Source organism: Homo sapiens, chromosome 7, assembly GCF_000001405.40.
Source record: "Homo sapiens chromosome 7, GRCh38.p14 Primary Assembly".
NCBI classification, from domain to species: domain Eukaryota; kingdom Metazoa; phylum Chordata; class Mammalia; order Primates; family Hominidae; genus Homo; species Homo sapiens.
The window spans coordinates 34,848,804-34,861,477 of NC_000007.14; the positions used below are offsets into that span (position 1 = coordinate 34,848,804).

Consider the following 12,674-nt stretch of genomic DNA (forward strand, 5'->3'; position numbering starts at 1 on the left):
AGATTCCACTAACATGGCTGATTCAAACCCTGGCCCAGGCCACAGCTGATGTGCTTTTTCCTATACCACAACACCTCCTATAGAAACCGCCTTAATCATGACACATCTAGAAGACCTTGCTTTTATTCAAAGCATCTTCACATGAATTGCCTCAATACAATTCTATGACAATAATAGGACATGGAGCCTTATTACCATTTTACAGATAAACAAAGTAAATCTTACATGGTTAATAGCATCATTGAGTTTATATGAATAATTAGCAGAGCTGAAATTAAATCCCTCCCACAGTTATTGTCATTCTTCTGTTTTTCTGCTGTTTTTCAGCTGTTTTCCTGCATAAGCCACAGAGGGTAGGTGGAGAATTCCATAGGAGATACAAGAGGAGAATGATTTAAGTCTTGGGCTTAATGCCAGTGGTTGAAGTTTATATCTTGCCATTGTTTATTCGTAGCGATGTGTGACCTTGGGCAAGTTATTTAACATCTGTAAACCTCAGCTTCTTCATCTGTAAAACAGGGCTAATAGCAGTGTCTACCTGTTGGCCTGTGATGTCTCTGTCCTCTGGGCTCTGGTGCTGACCAGTGAGAAGGAGAGCTGTGAGTCATGGAGAAGGAAGGTCAGGGTATTACATGTAAAGTGCCTGGCACAGTTGTCTGACATTTAATACATTTTTCATAACTATTGTCTCTTAACATGTCTACTTGCCTTTTCATTAGGTCAAATTATTTCCCTCCCTGCTTTATTTTGACTTTCTCCAGGGAGCAAAGATCACAGGATTCCAGAATGACGTTCCGGGAGAGAACTGAGAGGCATGAGATGCAGATTCTGTCCAAGCCAGAATTCATCTAGACCCTAGGGCAGTGCCAGTGCTAGGCTGAGCACCATCAGCTCTCCCAGGTCCTTGTCACCTGCTTGGGCACGTGCATGGAACCCGAGCCAACTTCACCCCACCCTCGTCATTACCTGGGAGATGCACAAGACAAATGTTCTAATGACTGCATGCACTGCTTAAGTATTGGCCAACACGAACTCCCCAGTTATTCATGCCAGCCAGGAAGGAAACGCCTTCCTTCCCCACCATTCCCAGCCCTCCTTCCCACTGGCCAGCACCTGAACCCAGTGAACACAGGCATTAGTGGTCCAGGGTCCTGGCTTGGAGCCAGTGAGTAGACAGGCAAGCAGAGGGGACAAAGGTAGCTGGGTTATACATGAATATTCTCATTACAATAGAAGAAAATAAAAGACTTAATTAAGCCCATATTTTTCCCCCAGTTTTGGATTGGAGGTTCAGTGCTTGTAGCCAAGAAAGTGTTTGTCCTTGAAATGCCAACAAATTCATTTCCAGGCATTGGTGCTTTGCACCTCTTCTGCAGATAGCCTCGGTTTGCAGATGGGTGTGCTGGCAGCAGCCAAGTGCATCTCCTATTCCATCAACAAATGATTTGTGGAAAGGGCATGCTGTTGGCCCTCCAAAACAAGGTGAAATGAAGGGATACTGGTTCTGATAGAAAACAAGTTGTGTTAAAAAGCCATGGGCCCCTGACTTCCAGCCTCTGAGAGCTGGTCCCTAGAACACACATGTCCTTGAGGCCTTTTTTTTTTTTTTTTTTTTTTGACAGAGTCTCGCTCTGTCGCCCAGGCTGGAGTGCAGTGGCACGATCTCGGCTCACTGCGAGCTCCACCTCCCGGGTTCATGCCATTCTCCTGCCTCAGCCTCCCGAGTAGCTGCGACCACAGGTGCCCGCCACCACGCCTGGCTAATTTTTTGTATTTTTAGTAGAGACGGAGTTTCACCGTGTTAGCCAGGATGGTCTCAATCTCCTGACCTCGTGATCTGCCTGCCTTGGCCTCCCAAAGTGCTGGGATTACAGGCATGAGCCACCGCGCCCGGCCTGTCCTTGAGGCTTTCTGAGACCTCTCACTCTGTATTTAACACTTGGGCCACTCTGGGCTCCATTCCTCACACCTCAAGGACAAGTCTTCCCGTTTTTAAATCCCTGAACACTCTCTTTAGTTAGGAGCTAGGTTCCTGCGGCTTTTCCAGGCTTAATGTTTCTCTAAGATCTTTATCGTTTTTGCCTGTCACAGCCTTTGTCTAGCACCTCGGCCAGGAAGTGCTGGTGGGGCTTATTTTGACAGATCTGGAGTTTGGTACTTATGAGCATAATCCAAGTGAAATATGACTAAATGTTTTCTAGTCAATTTCTCCTATCAGATTTTTCCACAAGTGGAAGTGAAATAATTTCATTTGATCATATATACATCCCACCCACGGCTCCGGTATGCACGTGAACACCTTATTTTAGCTTCACGTATATTCTTGACATTAAAATCTCCTTGGCAAAATCCTCCTTCCCAGAATTATTCAGAGCTTAAATCTTTTTTTTTTTTTTTGGCATACTGCTAGTGGAGTCATTAAATTGTTCAGTATATTTTAATAGCACTCCATTCCTCATTATGGTGTCAACTCAAAGTCTGCGTGTTTAAGGTCATGTGGGCTTTTTTTTTTTTTTTCATAAACTCTTTTCAATTCGATCTGACCTTAGGGAAAGTATCTCTTTAGGAGGAAATCAGACTCCTCACTCACCATCTCTCGGAGAATTATTCTCTGAATTTGAGGAGCCTGAATAATCTAGTTTTATTTCTACACAACAGTTTTGAAGGCTGCCTCCCTCTCTGTCCAATCAGCTAAACTTGAGCAACCCTGGAAGCTTTGAGCATTTGAGAAATGCTTTTCAACATTTCACTTTAAATCAAGATGTGCCACAGAAGACCCACGGAACTGTTGCTAAAATAGCTGGCTGCATAGGAGCCAATTAACAGAGCAAAATCTGGCAGATGTCCTACATGGCAAAACAGGAGGACCAGGTTCTCTTGACAGATGCTTTAATTCTTTGTCAAGTCTGGTCTGCAAAATACATTACATGCCTACCTCATCCATCAGTAGAGTCTCAAAGTGAAGGAGAGAGTGGAGTGAGGGGCGTTGTGATCTGTAGAAACTGTGAACATGATTTTTTAGTTGTGATGCTGTCTCTCTCATTTCCCGAGAAGACTGGAGATCAATAAGATAATGGTACAGGTTGCTGCAGGATAATCTACCATTTAAATGAAACTTGCTTTATATTGGTAAGGATTCTGGAATTGTCATTTCCATGTATTTGCTGAGCTTGGAGAAACATGATTTAAGCATTATGAAAATACTGGTAATTGGCCGGGCACAGTGGCTCACACCTGTAATCCCAGCACTTTGGGAGGCTGAGGTGGGCGGATCGTGAGGCCAGGAGATCGAGACCATTCTGGCTAACACACGGTGAAACCCTGTCTCTACTAAAAATACAAAAAGATTAGCCAGGCATGGTGGCTGGCGCCTGTAGTCCCAGCTACTCAGGAGGCTGAGGCAAGAGAATGGCATGAACCTGGGAGGCGGAGCTTGCAGTGAGCCGAGATCACGTCACTGCACTGCGGCCTGGGCGAGAGAGCGAGAATCCGTCTCAAGGAAAGAGAGAAAGAGAGAAAGAGAGAGAGAGAGGAAGGGAGGAAGGGAGGAAGGAAGGAAAGAAGAACTGGTAATTAATAGTCTTGTGACCTTGAACAAATCATTTCACACCTCTGGGCATTGATGGTCTCATCTGCAAGATGGGGACAAAATCAGGCTGGAGCAGAGGATCTTGGTGGTTCCTCCCAGACACAGGGAGGAATCTCTGAGATTGTGTCCAGAGACTGAGAGCTTCTGGAATTCTTTCCCCAGGGGACCAATGACTCAGTGACTTAATGCTGAGTCATTTGCCCTTTAGAGGTGTGACTTCCCTATCTATCACTATGAATGCAGAGAAATATCATTTCCCAACTGAGAAATGCAGTTTGAGCTCTTGGAGAAAATTAGAAGCTTAGTGCTGTGACGTTACTGTTTGTAGCCTTTGATGCCCATGTGGAATCAGAGAAGCCAGCAGGACGATACCTAAAATAAAGGTGCTTACTTCCTGCACCAAGATGTCAAAAAGTCTACGGTTACATTATTGCATGGCATCAGGGACAGGAGAAAATTTAGGAGAGCCAGAGTAGGTGTGCTTACTATATTCAGCCATACTATAGAAAATAAGTGACTCTACTTTACTGAACTAAATTAAATATGAATGGTAAAAACTTCTCTACTTGCAGGGTGCATGTGGAACATAATTTAGTTGAAGTTTACTTTCACTAAGCAACATCTCCCACCTTTTCCCCCAGAAAATGATAACACCTTTTTAATGACTTTCATTTGTGGATAATCATGAGAAAAAAGTGGCCCTTTTAAATCAGCCCAACACGCAGCTTAAACTTCCTAGCTTCATTTGGAAAATTCTGTATACTCATATACAGAAATGACCTTGCCTCTTCCAACTGCATTCACAGTGTCAATCAGAAAAGGCCACAAGCCTGAGTCTGAGAGAAAAAAGGAAAACAAAAATATCTTTAGCAGGAAATAAAGTGATTCTGCTCTTCTAGAATTATCTTAGGTGAGCTACAGACCTGCTGGCAACTCCAATTTTCTCGTCATCATTTGAATGTACCTCATCTTATATGCAGATCGACTAGTGTCCCCTGAAGCTTTCCAATTGCATTTAATTGAAGGGAGAAGGCCGTAACTGTTTAGGTGCCAATCTCTGTGTTTTTGGAAACATGAAAAACCCATGCCTCATTTCTCTGCAATTGCATTTTAAGAATACATTATCCGCAACAGGCTGGTTCAGTTAACATTTTAAAAGTGCAATTCCAGGCTTACAGAATGTTAAAGTGGATGGAGTCTTATATCAGCTGGTCTCATGGTTTTCAGATTGCTCGGAGACTCCAAAGCTGTTCCAAGGAGGTGACTCAATATTAATATTTTTACACGGCCGGGCATGGTGGCTCACGCCTGTAATCCCAGCACTTTGGGAGGCCGAGGAGGGCGGATCACCTGAGTTCGAACAGGAGTTCGAGACCATCCCAGTCAATATGGTGAAAACCCGTCTGTACTAAAAATACAAAAATTAGCCGGGTATGGTGGCGGGCCGCCTGTAATCTCAGCTACTTGGGAGGCTGAGGCAGGAGAATCACTTAAACCTGGGAGGAGGAGGTTGCAGTGAGCCGAGATCGCACCATTGCACTCTGGCCTGGGCAACAAGAAGGAAACTCTGCCTGGAAAAAAAAAAAACAAAAAACAAAAAAAACATTATTACGCACAACAATAGCATAGAAATCGAGAGGCAATTAAATGTAGTTAGTTTCAAGTTCCTTGAATTATCTTGCATGCAAAATGTGGATTATTAGTCATTGATACACCAAGAATGCATGTTACAATTTCAGGGTCATCACTAAAATAGTAGAAATGCAAAAACATACATCTTTCAGAGTAAAAGAGAAGGAAAGCTGAGTGATAAGTCACTCAAACAATTTGAAAGAAAGCAAGAAAAGAGAGAAACAGGGACATAAAACAGCTGGGATAAACAGAAAACACATAGGAAGATGGTGGTTTTTTTATCCAAACTTACTAGTAATTATAAGTGCAAAGAGATTAAATGCCCCAGTTAATAATCAAAGACTATCAGACTGATTTTTTAAAAAATAAATAACTGTCTGCTGTTTACAAAAGACATGCCTAAAACACAAGGATACAGAAAGTTTGAAAATCAAAGAATGGATCAAGGTAGTCCATGGAAACTGTAGCTAAAAGAAAGCTGGTAAGGCTATATTAATAAAGACTAAATACCTTTTAAGGCAAAAAGTATTAGTAGAGTTAAACAGGGACACTTCGTAATGATAAAGATTTTAGTTTAATAAGATGAAGTAATAATTCTAAATTTCCAGGCATTTAAAAACATGGCCTCAAAATATATACTTTTAAAAGTTGTCAGAACTATGAAACAAATAGAAAAATTCACAACCCTAATGGGGAATTTTATCACACTTAATGCCAGTCATTAAAGCAGACAAAAATCAGGAATGATCTGGATAATTTGAGCAACATGAATAACACAGGAAGAGCACTTTACCTTACCACCCCTGAACAGACATTTTTTTCAAGCACACATGAAGCAGTTACCAAAGTTGACCACATGCTAGGCCATAAAACAAGCTTCAACACTTCCACGAGATTGAATTCATATAGTCTAGTTTTTCTGATCATGTTATAATTATGCTGGAACTCAAGAGTAAGAGGATAACTAGAAAATTCAAATAGGTTTGGAAGTTAGGAAATACACTTCCGAACAACTTATTGCCAAAGAAGAAAGCATATGAAAATTAGAAAACAATTGTACTGAATGTTAATGAAAGTATTATGTATTAAATGTATAGGATACAAATAAAACAATACTTAAAGAAAAAAGAGAAGGATTAAAAATCAATAAACAAATTATCTATCTTATGAAGTTAGAAACATTTACCAAATTAAACTCAAGGGAAGTAGAAAGAATAAAATAATAAGAATAGGAGTAAAATTAATGAAATAAGAAACAAACATAATAAAAAGCCTCAACAAAGATCAAATTCTGTTCTTGAAAAAAATTAAATTAATAAACCTCTGGTGAGACTGATCAAAGGAAGAAAAAGAGAGAAGGCACAAATAAACAGTATTCTTTAAATGATATCACTATAGATCCTAGAGTCAATCAAAAGATAATAAAAGGATATTATGATCAAGCTTATGTCAAAACAAATTGAAAATATAGATGAATGGGAAAACATATAATTGACCCAAGAAGAAACAAAATCAGAATAGTAGCATAACTGCTAAAGAAAGAGAATGTCTTCATTGGTGAGCTGTACTAAAATTTAAGGACAAAGCAACACCAATTTTATAGTCTTCAGTAAAATAGAAAAAGTGTGACTTTTCAGATTATTTATGAGGCTAAAAAAACCTCAATATCAAATGCTACAAAGGCATTACAAGAAAAAAATTGCAAGTCAATTTTGCCGCAGAAATACATGCAAAAATTCCAAAAAAAAATTACCAATCAAGTCCAGCAAAATATAACAAGGCTAACATATGTGACAAAACTGGTTTCATTCCAGGAATGCAATGTTGGCTTACTATTAGAAAATCACTCAACTCGTTACATTAATAGATTACAGGATAAAACAATATATAAACTCAACAGATGCAGAAAAAAATGTTTGATAAAAATTTTTGAGCTCCAATTATAAGATATTCACAAACTTGGGATAGAAGACAATTTCTTAAACCTTAAAGTTTATCTGCAAGAAAGCTACAGGAAACCTATACTTAATGGTGAAGCTTTGAAGATGTTCCTTTTGAAATAAAGAATGAGTGAAGAATGCCAGCATCAACACTTCTGTTCAACATTGTAAGAAATCCTAGTCAATGTAGTAAAACAAGAAAAAAAAATAAGATAAAAGGTATATGGATTCATAATAAATAATAAAAACTGACAATATAGATATAAATATATAGCTGAATATCCAAAATAATATACAGATAAATTATTAGAATTAATCACAAGGTTTAATAAGGTTGCAGGATACAAAAATCAATATTATTTCCACATAGCAGCAATAAATAAAAAATTTAATTTTTAAAGTTTTGTAGCAATGAAGGGAAAGCTTCCTTTTTGCCCTTGGAGGCTTCACTGAAAAATCAAGTCATAAAAAGGCAGAAAAATAAGAGAAAAAGCATAAAATTTATTACTCCTATGCACACGGGGAAAATCGGAGTGATTGGCCAATACTTCAATGGGTACAGATGCTTGTAGAGCCTTCTTCTTAGGGGAAAGAGAGATGGGGAAGCGTGGATGATTTTAGGGGAATAATAAATGATTTTTAGGAATTTGGTGTGCTTGAAGAAAACAATGGTCCAGGACAGAGTCTGTTGGACTCACAGAGCAGACTTTTGTTTGTGACAAAAGTCTGTCCAGGTTTGTTGATAGACTTTAGTCTTCCTTCTTGTGATATGGGTTCAGTTAATGAAAACTCGGGGAAGGGACCGCAAGTCATTGTTTTCTTCTTTGGTAAGTCTAGAATTAGGCAGATAAGGAAACTTCATGATTGAGAGGCAGGAGGAGGGAGAGGAGAAACAATTGTTCTCCCTGGTAAGAGAACTGAAAACTGGTCCAGTCTTTATGTAGATGGGGGGGGAAATCTCTTCTAGCATCTGCTGATCTCTAAGGGCCTTTTAATTCAAAATATATTATAATGCCATGAAGCCATATTTTAGGGTAAAGTTCCATGAGCTCCTGCATTCGTTATTTACAATAGCCTTAAAAAATGAAATTCGTAGGAGTAAATTTATAAAAAGGTATGTAAATCTCTATGGAGAAATTATAATACTATTGAGATATATTCTAAAAACTAATGAAATGCAGAAATATATCATGACTATTGTTCAGAAACTGAATATCCTAAGATAATCAATTTTCAAATTGATCTCTGAAGATTCAGTAGAATGCCAAGAGGAATTTGGTAGAACTTGGTAAGTTGTCTCTAAAATTTATATGGAAATGCAAAGGGCCAAAAATAGCCACGACACTGTTGACTAAAAAGGAAAAAAATGGGAGAGCTTAACTAACCACATATCAAACTTATCATGAAAGAATAATAATGAAAGCTGTGGTATGGGCGCTAAAGTAGACAACTTAGCAAATGGAATAGAAAAGGAGTCCAGGGAAAGATGCCCACATATAGGTAAACGATTTGTTTCAGTGGTAACATTGCAAAGCAGTAAGGAAAGGGTGTTCTTTTCAATTATATAAAAAATTGGACATTTATGTGGGAGAAAATTTACTGAAAACCTACTGGATTATATGTCAAATTGGTTCCAGGTGGATTATAGACCTAAATTCACAAGACAATAGGACGCTGAAAAAATAATGTGACAAAACACAAAACACTGTACTCATGAAGGAAAATATTGATACATTTAATTATTTAAAAGTAGAAATTTCTGTTCATCAAAATATATTAAAAATGTGAAAAGACAAGCTATAGAATGGAAAATGACATTTGCAAAATATATAACTGACCAAGATCTAGTATTTGTAATATATAAAAACTACTGCAAATCAGTAAGAAAAAGATTTTAAAAGACAGTAGAAGACATAGAAAAATGGGCAAGAATTAACTTCAGAAAAGAAGTTATCCAAATGGACAAAAAACTATGAAAAGGTGTTTAATCTCATTAAAAAGCAAGGGAAAGTAAATTAAATCACAATGATATATGAGTATGCATATTGGCCTAACTTAAAACCTTTGACAATATCAAATGTTGCTGAGGATGTACAGCATCAGAAATGCTTATCTTGTGTGAACTGGAGAATAATTAGTACAACTATTCTGGAAAATTATGTGCCTTAAACTAGTAAAACTAAGGATTTGTGTTTCCCGTGACCTTGAAATTCCACACTGAGTACACACCCTACAGAAGTGTGAATTATGTGCACCATAATAGATATGAAAAATATTTGTAATAGCACTAATTATAAGAGCCTCAAATTGGAGGCAAAACAAATGCTTATTAGCAGTAGAATAGATAAATAAATTATGGTGTATTTCATACAATGGAATACTTTACAGCAACAAAAAAATGAAGAAACTGCATATGCTTGCAGCAACATAAAAAAACTTTAAAAACATAATATAAAGGTCAAAGACAGAGACATTAAAGATAACATATGATCTCATTTATATGAAATTCAAAACTAACCAAAATTAAATTATCATATTTAGCAATGCACACATAGGTAATTGTATTAGTCCGTTTTTCACACTGCTGATAAAGACATACCTGAGACTGGACAATTTACAAAAGAAAGAGGTTTATTGGACTTACAGTTCCACATTGCTGGGGAGGTTTCACAATCATGGCAGAAGGCAAGGAGGAGCAAGTCACATCTTACATGGATGGCAGCAGTCAAAGAGCAAGCTTATGCAAAGAAACTCCCATTTTTAAAACCATCAGATCTCGTAAGACCCATTCACTATCACAAGAACAGCACAGGAAAGACCTGTCCCCATGATTCAGTCATCTCCCACTGGGTCCCTTCCACAACATGTGGGAATTATGGGAGCTACAGGATGAGATCTGGGGGGGGGACACAGATCCAAACCATATCAGTGACAAAACTCTAAAGCAAAGCAGGAAATCACTTTTTATAAGAGTCCAGATTGAAATATCTTTGTGGGGAGAGGGAGGAGATGTACAGAGAGAGGCTGGCAGAGTCTCTTTTTTGCTCTAGGTGGCAGGTTCAAGGGTGTTCAGTTTATTTTGGAAGCAGTGCAGAGAAGGGAGCCAGACTAGAAACAGGGAGGTGATCAACTGGGTCTTGGTTACATACAGAAAACAGCAGAGACAGCTGAAAGATCCTTCTCTGTGTTCAGAGCCATCATCTATCATTAGCATCCAGTGATAGCAGGAACATTGATGCCAACATTTTTCAAAGTCTGCAGAAATGACTTGGCCCCTCCACAGAGCCTTGTGAGTCAGTTCAGAAGAAATCAATATCCATCTTCTGTTCTCTTCTTGCCTGCCAAGGGGACCTGGAATCCTTAAGTTTTGCTCCTGGTTTCCCACTTCAGTATTCATCCAAAGAGTCTCCTCCTGCTTGTTTTCATTCTTTCTGCCCTTCCTTGTCCCCCAGAGTGGAGATCTGAAGTGCATAATACCCCACTATGCGGTGATGTTAGCCCCAGAGCACAGCTGAACACAGCATTCCTCAGGAGAGGATTCATCCTCTATATAGGGAACACTGGAGATATTGCTGCCCTAACTCCAAAGAACTAATCACCAAAGCTTGGGACTTTGGGCCCATGGTAGGCAACTGGAAGAGTTATCTGGGGCAAAGAGTGTAACTCAAACATCATCATAACTATCTGACAGACTTTAAGGAGGCCAATCCAATGTTCTCAAACCTGGCTGCATCATGAATCACTCAAGGAATTTATTTTTTATCCAGATTTCTGAACCCCCAACCCCAGAGATTCTGACTTACTGGGTTCTGGGTAGAACATGGAAATCTGTATTTATAGCAACTCACCCAGGCGATTCATCCAGGTGGCTCTGGTGCAACTCTTCAATGGGCTGGTACTTAGGAGCATCCCCGGGGGTCAGAGCTCAAGTTCCTCATGGCCAGGAACTGTGTAGGCCTCCTTTGCTTACATCTAAGTGGTTTCCCCTGGTCCAACTGGAACACGAATGTTATCTCCTGAGTCCAACTTTATTGCTTCTTCTAACCATCTAGATATCTGCTAGTAAAACTCAAGACATCTCTAATTCTTCCTCTTTCCACTAGAGATTTAAATGCATTTTTTTCACATAAAGATGGACTTTAATCTAATGTAGTTATGCATGCATATAAATGCCCAAACAAGAGCCAAGTTGGGAAATATGGCCATGTGTTGATGTGATGTCTTGGAACAAGGAAGGACACCTCTGCAGAGGTGTTTTGAGGGCTATACCCACATGCTGATGTGATACCTTATCAAAGCACTCTAGAGCAGCCATTCTTAAATATTTTGGCCTCAAAAAGACCAAACAAGTCCTTTATGATTGCTTATGTGTATTGTATGCATTGATATTTACATGGATATTTATAATCCATTCATGTTAAAAATTAAAACTGAAAAAATATTTGTTTATAAATCATTTACAAATAACAATAATAAACTCACTATATTAACATAAATATCTTTTGTATGAAAATAACTATTTTCAACAAAATTTAGTGAGAAAAGTGACATTGTTTTAACTTTATGCAAATCTTTTTAAGTTTGACTTAATAGAAGACAGATTTTCATATCTTCTGCATTCAATCTGTTGCAATATGCTGTTTTGATGGAAATATATAAGGAAAATCAGTCTTCACAAATATGTGGTCAGAAAAAAAGTATTTTAATCTGCCTCTGCACTTAATCTGTTGCATTATAACATGCCATGTAACCTCTGGAAAATTCCACTGTACACATGACAGAACAAAAATGAAAAAGGCAAGTAACATTTTAGTACTGTTGTAAAAAGAGTTTTGACCTCACAGACCCCCAGGATTCTCAGACTTGGCCCCTCCTTCCCCACTCTCCCCACTCCCATCCTAGTTTTGGACCATGCTTTGGAGACGGAAGACTGATTCTTCAAAGAAAAGCAGTGTGCTCCTTTCTTTGCCAATAGACAGCCGTTGCTGTAACACTGTTCTCTTGGACACAAAGCTGAGCTGGATGAGGCAGGCAAGCTAAGGGACTGTTTGTATCCATTTGCAGAGCTGGTGAAAGCGCTAACTTATAGCCAATGCTGATTGAGGCTTCGTTCCAGGCAACAAACACCTCAGCAGGTTCACCTGGTGATTAAACCCGCCTCTGCCGGAGGCAAAAGCCCAATGCCCTACTCACACTGGGGACAGGTGATTGCTTGAATTGAGGAAGAGAATAGTCAAGATTCACCTCAAAGTTGATGGCATTTGCCAGGGTTCTGAGTTTGAGCAACAAACAGCACTCGTGTTTGTCAGAATGAGCCTCTGAGCCACCTCCCCATGCACTTGAGCAGTTCCCCTTCTGAGAATATGTTTCCCTCAGATATCTGCTTGTCCAACATCCTTGCTTTCCTCAGATCTTTGCCCACATGGTGCTTTCTAAGAGAGGCCCACCTAGACTACATTGTTTAATACTGCAGCTGCCAGCCCAGCAATCTGGATGCCCGACTATCTGGCATT

General features: G+C 39.1%; 1 protein-coding gene across 5 annotated transcripts in view; it reads left to right on the plus strand.

The window, feature by feature from the left end:
* The window catches only part of NPSR1 (neuropeptide S receptor 1), a 220,115-nt gene that overhangs the window by 190,586 nt on the left and 16,855 nt on the right, over positions 1 to 12,674 (plus strand). For 2 of the 5 annotated variants that reach the window (NM_207172.2, NM_001300934.2), the window contains one exon: positions 762 to 1,175. The exons of 2 other annotated variants lie outside the window; for them this stretch is intronic. In NM_207172.2, coding sequence (NP_997055.1) covers positions 762 to 852 — 91 coding nt within the window. In that variant the 3' untranslated portion in view covers positions 853 to 1,175. Of the gene's footprint in view, positions 1 to 519; positions 620 to 761; positions 1,176 to 12,674 lie in introns of those variants that run through there. One more of the 5 variants, NM_001300935.2, reaches the window with a different exon arrangement.